This window comes from Homo sapiens, chromosome 12 (genome assembly GCF_000001405.40).
Source record: "Homo sapiens chromosome 12, GRCh38.p14 Primary Assembly".
NCBI classification, from domain to species: Eukaryota; Metazoa; Chordata; class Mammalia; order Primates; family Hominidae; genus Homo; species Homo sapiens.
Window position 1 is genome coordinate 119,588,220 of NC_000012.12, and position 15,782 is coordinate 119,604,001.

A 15,782-nucleotide genomic window follows, 5' to 3' on the forward strand; every position below is an offset into this window, starting at 1 on the left:
TTTATGACTACTAACGGCTGGCACTTGAGACTAATGCAAAATTTGGCAGCAAATACTTGCAACCTCTTACCATTTCCTAAAGATCTGGACTCTCTCTCTTATATTCTCACAGATCAGCAGAATCTCTCTCTCTCTCTCTCTCTCCTCCCTCCCCCACCCCCTGCCCCTCCACCCCAGCCCACTTTTATTTTGGAATCCCAGACATAGCTAAGATCAAATGCACAGATTTCCAGCACACATTCATAGATTCAACACCAATCCATTGCCATTGAATGTTATAAATTCGGGGATCCATTTGGCATTGGGAAGTTGTTCTTTGAATCCATCTCATTTCATCTCTTATGAAGCATCTCATGTCTGTAGTCTATTGAATCTATGGTTGTTTCCTTGGCCTAAATTTTAATTTTACCTTTCATACATATCTTACGATACAACTTCTCAACCAGCCAATCTGAATTGTTTCTCTGCTCTTTCAAAGACTGATATCTACCCTGTAAGATCACAATTCACAAAGAAAAGATCACGAATGCAGACACTCAGATACAAAAGAGATTCATCACAGCAATTTTTAAAATAACTGTATAAACACTAAAAATAACTGCAATACTTAGTGATCAGGGCATGGTGACATAAATAATAATTCATTTAATCAATGGGAAATTACTCAGACCATGAAAATATCTGCAAAGGATGTTAACCATCATATAATGTTGCGTGAGAAAAAGAGGAAACAAAACTGTATATAATTCCATTTTAGTGGAAAATGATATATACATATACAAAGAAGACCAGAAGGAAATAGTTCCTTCTGTTTGTAGTGGTTACTTGGATGACACCTCCTTCTGTTTATGTTTTTCTTCATTTTCTCAATTTTCTTAAATGAATACGTATTACTTTTACATTTGGAAATAAACTTGTTTCAAAGATCAAAAAGGCAAGTTGCTACACTAGAATCCAGAAAGCTACAGTAAGCCTTTCCCCTCTCCTAGGCTGGCTATTAGAAAGTTGCTTTCTCTTCTGTCTCATTTGAAAGAGGGTAGGTATTGCCACATTATTAAGCAATCAGCCAGTAGGGTTCATCCAAGAACAATAAACTGACCTCTCAAGAGAAAATTAGTGAAGCTCAGGAAATTAGAGCTGGAAACCCCCACTGAGTGATCTAATGCATCCCTCAAGAATCAGCACCATATACATTACATTTTCTGGTGTAGGCACTTTCTTTTCAATTTAATTTGAAAAGTTTCAAGTGATGGCAATTTCACTGCTACATCTTAGACCAGTCAACAAGCTATTAATCCATCTTCCCTGAGCAGAGCATAATAACTCCAATGAACTTCAGAGATATCCATTTAACTTTCTGGCCTGGACCTGCCAGCTGAACAAATATCTCAGACCGAGTTCAAATTCTGGCACCTCCTCTTAGCCAGAAGACTTTACACAAGTCCCTTTACCTATCTGTTCCTAGGTTTCCTCATTTGGGAAAAAGAAAACCTCATCACCTCCCTCAGAAAATTTGCTGTAGGAATTAAATGAGATGATACACACAGGGAATGCACTTAGTGCAACAGTGGTGCTCGGTCAATGTTTGGCGATTCTAGAGTGCTCGGCTCATGTTAAGCAGTTGTTTTCCTGGCAGAAGAAACAGTCCACAATGAGTCAACAATCCCTTCTTTTGGCTTTCCCTAGATGACACTAGTGGGTTACAGTGAACAATATAGTTCAAAACTTTGAAAAGCAAAATTTCATTTGGTACCCAAACCTTGGGCTACTGGCACCAACGAAATTAACTAGCCTCATCAACACCTGTGAAAAGAAGGGGGAAAAATAAAAATACAAATATTTTTAAAATAAATTAGGCTCAGATCACAAATATGGTTCAGAGAGCACTTTTTCATTGTGAATAAGAGCCAGAATTGGAAGCCCAGGAGGATGGGAAAAAGAAGACATGGAATGAAGAGTCACATTTGAGAATGAATCAATAGTTTGATGAATAATTCATGGAGAGGCTGAAGGAAAGAGAAGAAGAATGCTGCCAAGTACCTAACTTGGAGGACTAAATTCACAATTTATTCATTCAATGAATTATCTGTTGAGCACCTGCTAATGGCCAGGCACAGTTCTGGGTGTTTGGGATAACACAGCAAACAAAATGGAAAAAAATATCTGCCCTTGTGGAGCTTCCTTTCTAGTGGGAAAGACAGTAAATAAGAAGACAAATAAATAAAAAAGACCATGTCTGACATAGAAAATAAACAAGGTAATGGGATGGAGAATAAGAGGATGGGGTCCACTTTAGATATGATGGTCAGGGAAGGCCTCTGTCAGGCGGTAACATGTGAGTTAGTGGGTCCTGGAAGATGAGAAGGAACCAATAGTTAGAGAGGAGAGGAAGCATTCCAGGAGGAAAGAACAGTAGGTACAGAGACTTTGGGGTGGGAAAAGGTTAGGTATGTTAGAGAAACGGGGAAAAATGTCTATGTAATTGAAGTGCAGTAAGAAAGGAGAGAATTCTGGGCATGGTGGTGCATGCCTGTAATCCCAGCACTTTGGGAGGCTGAGGCGGGAGGATCGCTTGAGGCCAGGAGCTCGACGTTGCAGAGAGCTATGATTGCACAACTGCACTCCAGCCTGGGTGACAGAGCAAGGCTGTCTCTAAAAAATAAATAGTAAATAAATAAATAAATAAGAAAGGAGATACTTGGCAGAAGAGATTGGAAAAGTGAGCAGTGTTCATTGACCAAAGACCAAGCCTTGAGAAGCAAGTTCTTAGGGAAGACAATGAGTTCCTCTTTGACACATTGAGTTTGGGACACCTGAGAGGATTTCCAAGCTAAAGATCCTGGACTGTGTCCTAAGAATTAGAGACAGAACTGGGATCTGAGAAATTGCTCAGTTGCATCAGAATCACCAGGGAGTATTCTAAAAATACAGTTTTCTCAGGCATTAAAAGTACAGATTTCTGGCCAGGCGTGATGGCTCATGCCTATAATCCCAGCACTTTGGGAGGCCGAGGCAGGCAGATCACAGGGGCAGGTGATGGAGACCATCCTGGCTAACACGGTGAAACCCCGTCTCTACTAAAAATACAAAAAAATTAGCCAGGCGTGGTGGTGGGTGCCTGTAGTCCCAGCTACTCGGGAGACTGAGGCAGGAGAATGGCATGAACCTGGGAGGCAGAGCTTGCAGTGAGCCGAGATCGCACCACTGCACTCCAGCCTGGGTGACAGAGTGAGACTCCATCTCAAAAAAAAAAAAAAAAAAAGTACAGATTTCTGGGGTGCTACCTGAGAAATTCTAATCCAAGTAGGTCTTGATCAAAACCTGAAAATCATTTTTTTCAATACATCCAGGTAATTTTGGTCAATTCATTCAAGAAACATTTCTTGCATTCCTACTATGCACCAGGACAATTCTTAAGTGCTGGAAATATAGTTCTGAACAGGTTGGACAGGCTATAGTCTAGAGATAGAACAAACAGTGAACAAGTAAAGAAATAAATTACAATTGTGACACGCTACACACACAAAAAATAATAAACTGGCAAGAATAAAATAAGGATGGAGACCTACACTAGATAATCTACAAGAAGACCTCTCTTTGAGGAAGTGACTTGACCTGTCACCTGAGGAATAAGAAGGAGGAGCCTCCCAGCACTTTGGGAGGCCAAAGCGGGTGGATCATGAGGTCAGGAGTTCAAGACCAGCCTGGCCAAGATGGTGAAACCCTGTGTCTACTAAAAATACAAAAATTAGCTGGGCGTGGTGGCAGACACCTGTAATCCCAGCTACTCGGGAGGCTGAGGCAGAGAATTGCTTGAACCCAGGAGGTGGAGGTTGCAGTGAGCCGAGATCACACCACTGCACTCCAGCCTGGGTGACAGAGTGAGACTCCAACTCAAAGTAAAAAAAAAAAGAAGGAGGAGCCATGTGACAGCCAGGGAAAAACAGCCGAGGCAGAGGGAACAGCCAATGCAAAGACTTGGTTGAGAATTCAGTAGATGAATCTAATCTTTTAGTTACTCCCATTTTATTAATCCATCAAAATGAGAAAGAAGGCATGGCGGAGAATGTACTATTTCATCTTTGTGTGTTCACCCAGCAAGCTATACTAAGCACCTCCCTTGTACCAGGAACTGTGCCAGATGCTGACACAAAGATGAGCCAGATGACCCCTTCTCTCGGGGAGTGTGCAGTCCAATGAGGGAGGCAGATAACAAAATAAGTATGGCTCATGAGATAAGTGAGAATCTCCCAGGCAATCAGCTTATATTCTGAGAAAGCCAAGAAGATGATTAATAGTTTCAAGTATGATGATGTGAGCAATTGCTTTTGACACTGCATGATCAAATTATTTTCATTTCTTTGTGGTCCTGCAGCTCAGAATACCTGGATTTTTGGTGAAATATTAGCAAGGGATATCAAGTTTAGGATACTGTATAATGCACTATATGTTTCAGAATATAAGGAGAAATAGTATGCTAATAATAGCTAATATTTATTGAGCACATGGATTGACCTGGATAATGTACCATCTCATAGAAGAGTCACTACGACTTTATGAGGCAGGGACTATTATTTCCCCTTTTTCAGATGGAGAAATAGGGGCTTAGCAAGATGAAGGGGCTTTCCTGAAGTGACAATTTCCTAGTTCTGTCTGGATTCAAGCTTCAGTTCTGGTCCATACGGCCCTCTCATGAATAGCTTAGACACTGATACAATTGCTTTTCTCACACTAGTCCCCAAAGTGGATACCTTGTTCTTCTTCCCAGCCCACTCATCCATCTAGGTTGCCTAGGCCAGCCTGATCTACCTGCATTTCTCCCCAGGGGTCCTGCAGGTGGAAAAGTGGAAAGAAGAATTCCTTGTTTCCACACTGGGGAGGGCACCTGGACGGGCATGGACCGGGCAGTGCCCACTGACTGACTATACTGGACTCCAGTCTCTTGAGCCCCAAGTAGAATGTGGAAAGCTTTGAGGCCAAAGCTGGGCACCTGGTTCCCACCCCACCTGGGGGAGGGGGTCGGGGGGAGGAGAAATTCCTGGGGCTCAGTGTTCAAGGTCTGAGGCACAGGAGACAAATCAAATGCCCAGGCACCAGACAGTTAAGGTAAAACGTTGAAGTCAAGAGGAAGTAGTGAGTCTGTTGCCAACTGGATAGGGTTGGTCCTGTCCCATCTAAATGTATTAGAATTAAGTGGCTTTTAAAAATGAGCTGGTCATCTTCAGCCCACGGGCTGGCCAATTTGGAACTTAATGGGCCTTTGCGTCCTCCTTCCCTGAGCCTCCTTTTATTCCAGACTTCTCAGTGTGAGTCTGTGCGTCCCTCCGACGATCTCAGGGAGTGGGGTGCCTTCATCTGCCTGTTCCCTGTTCCTCAGGCTGACGCTCCCGCTGTCCTCCCCGCCTCCCCTCACTCCTTTTCTCCCTCCCTTCCTCCTTGTGGGGAGGCTCTTGGCCAGGGTCCCTGAGCCCGGGCGGGTGCTGGCAGAGGACGCAGAAGGGGTGAGGTCACGTCTCCCTTGAGCCCCGAGCCGCTGGCTTTTCAGAGCCTCGCCACAAGCCGGCGGCCAGAGCCCCAGACCACACAGACCGTGCGCTCCTCCGCCCTCCCGGCGCCGCCGGCCTCGCCCATGTCTCAGTACGCCCCTAGCCCGGACTTCAAGAGGGCTTTGGACAGCAGTCCCGAGGCCAACACTGAAGATGACAAGACCGAGGAGGACGTGCCCATGCCCAAGAACTACCTGTGGCTCACCATCGTCTCGTGTTTTTGCCCTGCGTACCCCATCAACATCGTGGCTTTGGTCTTTTCCATCATGGTGAGTGAATCACGGCCAGAGGCAGCCTGGGAGGAGAGACCCGGGCGGCTTTGAGCCCCTGCAGGGGAGTCCGCGCGCTCTCTGCGGCTCCCTTCCTCACGGCCCGGCCCGCGCTAGGTGTTCTTTGTCCTCGCACCTCCTCCTCACCTTTCTCGGGCTCTCAGAGCTCTCCCCGCAATCATCAGCACCTCCTCTGCACTCCTCGTGGTACTCAGAGCCCTGATCAAGCTTCCCCCAGGCTAGCTTTCCTCTTCTTTCCAGCTCCCAGGGTGCGTTTCCTCTCCAACCCGGGGAAGTTCTTCCGTGGACTTTGCTGACTCCTCTGACCTTCCTAGGCACTTGCCCGGGGCTTCTCAACCCTCTTTTCTAGAGCCCCAGTGCGCGCCACCCTAGCGAGCGCAGTAAGCTCATACCCCGAGCATGCAGGCTCTACGTTCCTTTCCCTGCCGCTCCGGGGGCTCCTGCTCTCCAGCGCCCAGGACTGTCTCTATCTCAGCCTGTGCTCCCTTCTCTCTTTGCTGCGCCCAAGGGCACCGCTTCCGCCACTCTCCGGGGGGTCCCCAGGCGATTCCTGATGCCCCCTCCTTGATCCCGTTTCCGCGCTTTGGCACGGCACGCTCTGTCCAGGCAACAGTTTCCTCTCGCTTCTTCCTACACCCAACTTCCTCTCCTTGCCTCCCTCCGGCGCCCCCTTTTTAACGCGCCCGAGGCTGGCTCACACCCACTACCTCTTTAGGCCTTTCTTAGGCTCCCCGTGTGCCCCCCTCACCAGCAAAGTGGGTGCGCCTCTCTTACTCTTTCTACCCAGCGCGTCGTAGTTCCTCCCCGTTTGCTGCGCACTGGCCCTAACCTCTCTTCTCTTGGTGTCCCCCAGAGCTCCCAGGCGCCCCTCCACCGCTCTGTCCTGCGCCCGGGGCTCTCCCGGGAATGAACTAGGGGATTCCACGCAACGTGCGGCTCCGCCCGCCCTCTGCGCTCAGACCTCCCGAGCTGCCCGCCTCTCTAGGAGTGGCCGCTGGGGCCTCTAGTCCGCCCTTCCGGAGCTCAGCTCCCTAGCCCTCTTCAACCCTGGTAGGAACACCCGAGCGAACCCCACCAGGAGGGCGACGAGCGCCTGCTAGGCCCTCGCCTTATTGACTGCAGCAGCTGGCCCGGGGGTGGCGGCGGGGTGAGGTTCGTACCGGCACTGTCCCGGGACAACCCTTGCAGTTGCGCTCCCTCCCCCACCGGCTCACCTCGCCTGCAGCTGGGCCACGGAACTCCCCGGCCACAGACGCAGAGCCCTGATTCAGCGCTGTGAAAATCGCTAGCCACCCGTCCCCCATCAAGTCCGCCCACACTTGCCCACGGGTGGTGGCACCATATTCGATTCGTGGGCACCTGCAAGGCTCCATTTGCACCCGTAACTTGCCCTTTCCCAAACCCGGTTTGTGGACAGCGTCTGCACCGATATGAAAGCGTGCAGCCGCTGAAGTTCAGACAAGTCTGTATTCAAATCCCAATTCTCCCACTTTCTAGCTGTGTGATCTCTGAAGTCACTGCATCTCTGAACCTCAGTCTCTTTGTAAAACCAGAATAATCATAGCCATGTTTCTTGGGGTTGTTGGGAGCATTCATGACATAAATAATTGTAAAGTGCTTAGAACAGTGACCAGCACGGTATCTTTACAAAATCTTTACTCAAATGTCACTTCATGAGGCCTTCTGTGATTACTGTTTAAAATCAGGACCCCCATCCACCCACCCCGCGCAAGCTCTGTTCTTCCTTCCCTGCTACCTTTTGACCAAATTACTTCTCTCCATCTGATATAGTATTTTAATTATTTGTATGTTTACAGTCTGTGTCCCTCTCATTAGAATATAAGCTCCATAAGGGCAGGAATATTTGTTGGTTCCTGTATCTTCAGCATCTAGAAGAAAATGTGGCACGTGGTAGATGCTTAATAAGTATCATGAAATGAATGCATGCATGAATGAATGGTGTGGATGAATCATTAACCTTTTTTTCCCATCCTGGAGGCCCGGAAGCCGTCGCATCCGGTTCCTTCCGACCAACCAGCCAATTTCCTCCCTTCCTTCCTCTCCCCATATATCCGGTCTTGACTTTTTTTGCCGAGAGTCTGGAAACAATGCTGCAGCCAAATTCTCCAGGCAGCAGCAGACTGTCTGGCTGGCACTGGTGCCCACATTCTATCCTGCTTTATTAATGAAGCAGCCAATTCACTCCTTTCCCAGTGCCACTTAGAAAACTGCCTGCAAAGGCTTTTTCCCTCATTGGTCTGAAATGAGCTGGCACTCCAGATGGTAGTGACAGGTCAGATATTAATGATGCTGCTTGGTATGCCCTGGGAGATGAGGTTTGCACATGCTTTGAATTGAAACTTCCTTTTCTAATCCCCTCTTCCCCATTCCCTCCCCCACTGGAGACAGTTTACTATGGACAAGTTTGTATCTTTTTTTTTTTTTTTTTTTTTTGAGACGGAGTCTTGCTCTGTCACCCAGGCTGGAGTGCAGTGGCACAATCTCGGCTCACTGCAACCTCCACCTCCCGGGTTCAAGCGATCCTTCCACCCCAGCCACCCCAACCAGCTGGGACTACAGACGCCGGCCACCACGCCCGACTAATTTTTGTATTTTTAGTAGAGACAGGGTTTGACCATGTTGCCCAGGCTGATCTCAAACTCCTGACCTCAAGTGATCTGCCCGCCTCAGCCTCCCAGAGTGCTGGGATTACATGGGTGAGCCACTGCGCCCGGCCAAGTTTTGTACCTTTTTAAAGCCTTGGTTTCTTCATCTATAAAATGGGAATGTGAAAGCTGTTTTAAGTTGAGCAAAACTGTTGTAAGGATGAAACAAAACAAAGCATTCTAGTTCTTAGCACTATGCTAGGTACATGCAATAATTGTCAGACAGATGTATAGATTTGGAACCTGGAGATATCATGTTACATATAAAAACAAACAGAAATTCTAAACAGTGTGTCCTACACCCTTCCTGTTGCACTGGAAGTCTTTTCCCATTGATATATAGTGCAGCTCTGGACTTGATCAGTTTCATCACAAGGACTCCAAAGGACAAAGGACAAAGAGGAAGAGGAAGGATGTGCAGTAGAAAGGTGGGAGACCAATTCTGCCAGGCGTTTGCTTCCCCTAGGGTCTCTTGTGATGTTCAGTCCTGGCAATTTTCAACTCTCACTTCTCTGTAATTTATGATTTGTGGTGCCCTCAATGATTTGGGGTGTTACTGGCATTTGGTGGAAAAAGCCGAAGTACTAATGTCTGCCATGCTAGGGGCTGTCCCCCAGTGAAGAATGGGCACATTCCCAATACCAAGACCATCCCAATGAAGAAGCACTGTAGGATGATGCAAATTGATATAAACATGGATGTGTGGAACATACTGACAAGGCTCAAAATAATTAGTTTCCAGAATGGTAAAAAAAAAAAGAGCCAACAATCTCAAAACAATCAATGCTTAAATATTTATTACACCAAGCCTGAGAAGCTTTCTATAAAATCACCAAATTAGAGTAGGTGCTGGCAAAGAAAACTACTTTGGAAAAATACACATTCAAGAAGAGTGTTCTTCGAGTGGTGGATTTCTGTGTTCTTTCTACCACCCCATGTAGAACCAGGGGAGTCCTGGGGTCCTGGGGGTTAGGAGGTGGCACACTACAGACAAGCTCTAGTCCAACATGTCATGTGGTATTGGATGTTGATGGGTCAAGCATTGTCAGGGACACAGAAGTGTTTCTTCCTCTATATATTGAAAGTCTGTTTATTGAAAGCATACTTAACCTCAATTTGAGGGACGCATGTCTCAAGAATTTCCCCCTAGACTGGGTTCCTGGTAGCTCATATTGCATCGTTGTGTGAATTTGAATATGGCACATTTTCTCCATGCAGACACAGCCCTCCACCAGGGCACATAGCTTGGTGAGGAGCACAAGCTGGCTTTCAGGCCTCATTCAACATGATCTCACCCATCCCTGGCTATCTGTTTATTCCATGTGAAAGAACCCTATAATTTCCTAATGTGGCCCTCGACCCTGGAGAAAGAATATTTATTTGTTATTCAACATGTACTTATTGAGCATCTATTATGTGCCAGGCTCTATTCCAGCTATTCCTTTATCTCTATCAAGTGGCAAATAAGATCAGCAAGGTCTCTGCCCTCCTGGATCTCAAAGAAGTGGGGCTCTAGGCAAGTTGCAAGAGTGTTGGCAAATTTAGGGTTAGTTCACTGTCTATTGGTTTTGTAGCTGGAATTTGCTACCTGACTCAGAAGACGAGTTTGTGCCCACCCTCAATTCTTGATGACATCATGATGTAATCATTTGCAAAACTGAACCAACTGGTCACTCTAATTATGGATACACAATAACCAATGACTTTTGACTGGATGGCTTATAAGCTTTTCATTAGCACATCTGTCTCACACCTACCAATAGGTGTGTGGGGATTTGCCCTTTATTGGGGGACAATTCATGGCATGGCAGGACAGTAGTACTTTGAGTCTTTCCACCAAATACCAGTAGCACCCCAAAATCATTGAGACCACCACAGATAGCTCCCACATTTCTAAATGCCTTCAAGGGGAATGGTGCAACCCCTAGTCGAGATTCTCAAGCACACCATTGCCTGAGATGTCTTACATACCTGTCTAGAGAACCTGTCTAGAGACCAACCATTAAGGTTCAAATCCTTTTCTTTGATGTGCTTATGATTTTATGCAAGTGCCTCGATCTTTCTGAAGCTTGGTCTTTCCACCTTGTAAATGGGGGTTGTGATAGTATTTACCCAAGTGCAATTGTGGAGATTAGATAATAAAAGTTAAAAGTTTTCAGGTCACTGCTTAGAATACAGCTAGAATTCAATAAGTATTGATGTTGATGATGGTGATGTAGATGATGGAAGACGTGTCTGTTCTAGAGATACAAGCCATTATCTTTCCCAGTTTTTCTGTTTTTACTGAGACTAGCAAATTTGATAAGAATAAAACAATGATCAGTAGTAGACATGTCACTGGAATAAAAATTTGTTGCAGCATAAAGGTAAATATTAATGCCAAACTGAAACACATACAAATAAGCAAAGAGGACTTTCGATTAATCGTGAAATATTGAACATACCTGTTTTGCTCCCACCCCTTCTAAGACCACTTAAAATGATAGTAAGTGCTATTTGGTAGCACAATAGGGTGACTGTAGTCAATAATAACTTAATTGTAATTTTTAAATAACTTAAAGAGTGTAATTGCATTGTCTGTAACGTAAAGGATAAATTCTTGAGAGGATGGATACCCCATTCTCCATGATGTGCTTATTTCACATTGCATGCCTGTATCAAAACATCTCATGTACCCCGTAAATGTATACACTTACTATGTGCCCAGAATTTTAAAAAAAATCGTAGTAAATGAATTTAAAAGGATATAAACACTCAAGAACAAATTAGGAAAACAGAAGAAGAAATGAGATGGTGACAAAATCTTAGACGATGGAAAATAGCTGGCTGGGCATCAACTAATTTTACGTAGTAGATGACACTGAAATCTAAATCCTGCACAAATAGTAGCCAACAAGAAGAAAGTCAATTTTCTCTGCAAAACTCTAGGAAAGCTCAGAAATTGGAGGTACCAGCTGAAGATACTGCCTTTGATGTTAGGAATAAAGGGTAGGGAAAATCTTTGAAAGTCTGTTTATGAAGTCGTGGAACTGCCAGAGATCACCTACCACCCCACACAGCCAGGCCCCCACTTCCTCACCAACTCAGACAGAAGATTAGAGATTTTCTCTCTGGTAAGATTAAACAGAATGACTGTGGACACCAGGCACAGCTGAGAGAAGGGTTTAGGTGCCAAGCTGAAAACGAGATTAATGGAAAGCTGCAATGTTGAACAAGGAAGCTCCTTCCCCAACTTGGTTTCCTGGACAGAAATCGGAGAATTTCTCTCCAAGGATGTGACCAGTCCAAAAGAAAAAATCTTTAGGAGTCCTCCAGAGAGAGGATGCAATCCACCCACCCATTAACAAGCTCCATCCTCATGCAAAAAACTTCCAAGCAGCTTTTCAGTGTCTCACTTTCAAATATGATGAGTCAACTAAAGATTATCAGACATATGAAAAACTCTTCTGAAATAAAAGACCTGCAGTTTACAAAAAAAAAAAAAAAATGAAGTATAAGGTAACAAATAATACAAGATGTAGAAGAAAACTTCAAGAATAGGTGAGTAGCATCCCCAGAGAATAAGAAACTATATTCTGTCCACAAGACAAGAACCGGCTGAAAAAAATAAAACAGCCAGAGAAGCAAAACAGAGCTCTTGGGAATTAAAAAATATGTGGGTAGATTAAAAAAAAAAAAAACAGCAGAAGCTCCTTTGAGCTGGAGCTGAAAAAATAAAATAAAAATAGAGAAAGATTGCAAGTTAATGTTGAGGGAGGCTGGAGGCTGAAGAAGTAATGTAAAAATCAAAAAGATGGAAAATATGGAAGTCACCCAAGTGTCCATCGATGGATGAATAGGTAAACAAAATGTGTTATATACATGAAATTGAATATTATTCAGTCTTTAAAAGGAAGGAAATTCTGACATGGGCTACAACCTGGATGAACCTTGAAAATACTAGGCTAAATACAAGAAGCCAGTCACAAAAGGACAAATATTATATGATTCCACTTATATGAAATACCTAGAGTGGTCTAATTCTTGAGACAGAAAGTAGAATGGTGGTTGCCAGAGACTATGGGGAGAGGGAAATGGGGAGTTACTGTTTAATGGGTATGGAGTTTCAATTCTGAAGATAGAAAAGTTCTGGGAATGGATGGTGGTGATGGTTGTACAACAGTGTGAATGTATTTAATGCCATTGAACTGTATACTTAAAAATAGTTAAAATGGTCAATTTTATGTTGTGTATATTTTACCACAATAAAAAATAAAGGAGGAAAATATTCTCCAAAAAAGATAAAAATAGTCAAGAATATATATAATAAAATTTGATACTCATTCCCAGAAATCTAACATCTAAAAGGAAAGTTCCACAAAAAGGAAAGGACAAAGAGAATTAAAGAGAGGAGATTATCAAATAAGCAATATAGAAAAAATTCCCAGAACTGAACGCATGAATTTCCAGATTAAAAGAATCCCCCAGTACTCAATAAAGTGAATGAAGCAAGACATACCAAGGCACATCTTGGTGAAATTTCAGAGGTTCAAGGGTAAAATTTCTCTCCAATTCTGTAAACTTTGAAAGAAAGGAAACATTATTAATCCACATATGGACTAACAATGGCTTCAGAATTCTGATCAGGAATGCTGAAGGCTAAACAATAGTGAAGGCCAGGTGCGGTGGCTCAAGCCTGTAATCCCAGCACTTTGGGAGGCCGAGGCGGGCGGATCACGAGGTCAGGAGACTGAGACCATCCTGGCTAACACGGTGAAACCCTGTCTCTACTAAAAATGCAAAAAAAATTAGCCAGGCGTGGTGGCGGGCGCCTGTAGTCCCAGCTACTCGGGAGGCTAAGGCAGGAGAATGGCGTGAACCTGAGAGCCGGAGCTTGCAGTGAGCCGAGATCGCGCCACTGCACTCCAGCCTGGGCGACAGAGCGAGATTCCGCCTCAAAAAAAAAAAAAAAAAAAATAGTGAAAAGATGACTTCAAAAATCCTGAAAGAAAATTATTTGCAACTTCAATTCTAGACACATCTAAATAATCGTTCAAGGGAGAGAGAAAAATAAAGACATTTCCAGACATTTAAGATCTCAAATAAGTTGCCTGGCATACATCTTTTCTCAGAAAGTCATGGGCGAATGTGCCTCCCAAAAAGAAGGGAGTAAGTCAAGAAAAGGACACAGGATCCGGAAAAGGGATTCAACATAGAAAAGAGACAGAGAAATGCTCCTGAAAACAAGGCAACCAGTCTCTCACCCCCACAGAAGATGCAGTTGATAATGGATGGTTGGCCTGAAGGCTTTATCACAACCCATTATCTGGTTGTGGGCTGGCACTGTAAGCCACAGCCATGCCCCAAGTCTGACCATACCTGCTGTGGATGATAAGGTCAGTGGTCAGTAAATACTCACAGGATGAAAAGCAAAACAAACCACGTGTTTTTTCCATCTGACCCGAGCTCCACCAGAGCTTGAAACATAGTTTTGACTGCTCACACGTCAAAACTGCTTCAAGTGGACTTCAGCTAGGTGTAGGGAGAAGATCATGTGTGTCTGTGAACTTGGAAATAACAGGTCTTGGTGCAGGCAACTGATCCAGAGAGCTTGACGCTGCCCACTAGTTGGAGCACCAAATGCTGATTCATTGGATCTCTCCCTGTCACTTCTCCCAATGTTCTCTGGCTCTTTCCACAGCTGAGATTGTCACCTGAGAAATGGCGTATTAAAATTACAGACCCCTGTGAATTATTTCTTTTGAATTTCTTGCTTGAAGCTCTGAAGAGCATTCAGATGGTTCCAGATGATGAAGACCCTGTCTGAAGTGTGTCATCATGGGAAGGCCGCATTCCAGATACCCATAGATTTTGCAAATATGCACATTTCCCCAGCAGCCCTGCCTCATCAGTTACTTGCATAAGTTTTGCCACTTGGTGGCCACTGACATTTGGTATTTAGGAACCTAGAATTTAAACTGTTTTTAGAGTCCTTTCAGATCATTAGCAGTACAGACTATGTCTATTTCAAGATGTAAATCTGTGTGCTCCTAATTTTAAAAAATACATTTTAAGAGCCATTTAAATTTACTGATGACATGCTGTAATGGCTGGGTTTGTTGTAACATAATATGTGGGGATAGAGATAAAACAAGATTGGCCACTAATGCATGACAGTGGAAGCTGGGTTATGGGAACATGGGGATTTTATTATATTACCCTGTCAAACTGTGTATACATTTAAAGCTTTCCATAATAAAAAGTAAAAAGAGGGCCAGGCACGGAAGCTCATGCCTGTAATCCCAGCACTTCAGGAGGCTGAGGCGGGTGGACCACCTGAGTGCAGAAGCTCGAGACAAACCTGGGTAACATGATAAAACCCCGTCCCTACAAAAATAAAAATAAAAATAAAAATAAAAAATCAGCTGGGCACAGCAGTGAGTGCCTGTAATCCAAGCTACCCAAAAGGCAGAGGCAGGAAAATCACTTGAGCCCAGGAGGCAGAGGTTGCAGGGAGCCGAGATCACGCCACTGCACTCTAGCCTGGGCAACAGAACGAGACCCTGTCTCAAAACAAACAAAAAAAGTAAAAAGAAAGAAATCCAGATAGAACCTCCCCTCCTAAGTCATTATCCGCCCAGATGAGTGGCAGATAAGATAACAAGACAGCAGCTATTAAATGAGTTGGCCAAAAAGGCTGTGGTTGAGGTAGAGCTTGTCATTAAATAGTAAGAAAACTATTTCTGGCTTATGTGTGAATGTCAATGATGACTTTGAAGAATACCTTCAAATAATCATCAAGGTGAGCCCAGGTAGGACTCACATCCTAGAACTTTAATCACCTAAGGATCTTGTTAAAATGCAGACTCCACTCCTCTTTCAAGGCTCAGCTAGAAAATCACCTCCTCCATGAAGCCTTTTTTGATTGCCTCCTCTCTTTCACTCAAGGTTGTGCCCTCTTTACTCTAAACAGATTTCCTCTTGGATCATCTTTACTTCCTTGCACTGATTTGTGTATGTGAGGCCCTTAAGATTACACTGTTAGCCCCAGCACCTAGCACAATGTCAAGCATGAAGTCCACATGTAACAAACATTTGATGAATGAATAAATGAATTAATGAATGAATGACTACATAGGCCAAAGTCTGCTCCTACCTTTATCTCTGAGGGTTTGCTTCCCTTCCCCAACTGTGTTCTGCATTCCTGCCAAAACCTTTTTTGGAAAATATCCAGGAGACTCAGGCAAATGCCAAGGGTCACTGAGAGGTTGGCCAAGTCTTGGTTCACAAGGATAATTTTC

General features: G+C 44.4%; 1 protein-coding gene and 1 long non-coding RNA gene across 11 annotated transcripts in view, besides 1 other annotated feature; one reads left to right on the forward strand and one right to left on the reverse strand.

Annotated features, from left to right (window-relative positions):
* PRKAB1-AS1 (PRKAB1, TMEM233 and CCDC60 antisense RNA 1) overlaps positions 1–15,782 on the reverse strand; it is a 280,141-nt gene that overhangs the window by 200,233 nt on the left and 64,126 nt on the right. The window contains exon 1 of one of the 4 annotated variants that reach the window (NR_188489.1): positions 5,963–6,749. The exons of the other annotated variants lie outside the window; for them this stretch is intronic. This is a non-coding gene — a long non-coding RNA (PRKAB1, TMEM233 and CCDC60 antisense RNA 1). Of the gene's footprint in view, positions 1–5,962; positions 6,750–15,782 lie in introns of those variants that run through there. 4 annotated transcript variants of the gene reach the window in all.
* Positions 5,543–6,116: an enhancer, noted in NCBI's record as "H3K4me1 hESC enhancer chr12:120031567-120032140 (GRCh37/hg19 assembly coordinates)". NCBI's record gives its function as "activates a minimal SCP1, AML or CMV promoter by ChIP-STARR-seq in primed H9 embryonic stem cells {active_cell/tissue: H9 hESC(primed)}" and the evidence as "EXISTENCE:reporter gene assay evidence [ECO:0000049][PMID:30033119]".
* Positions 5,555–15,782, forward strand: part of TMEM233 (transmembrane protein 233) — a 60,522-nt gene continuing 50,294 nt past the window's right edge. For all 7 annotated transcript variants that reach the window (XM_011538329.3, XM_011538330.3, XM_005253881.4 and 4 more), the window contains exon 1: positions 5,555–5,815. In XM_011538329.3, the coding sequence (XP_011536631.1) occupies positions 5,630–5,815 (186 nt within the window). In that variant the 5' untranslated portion in view covers positions 5,555–5,629. The remainder of the gene's footprint in view (positions 5,816–15,782) is intronic.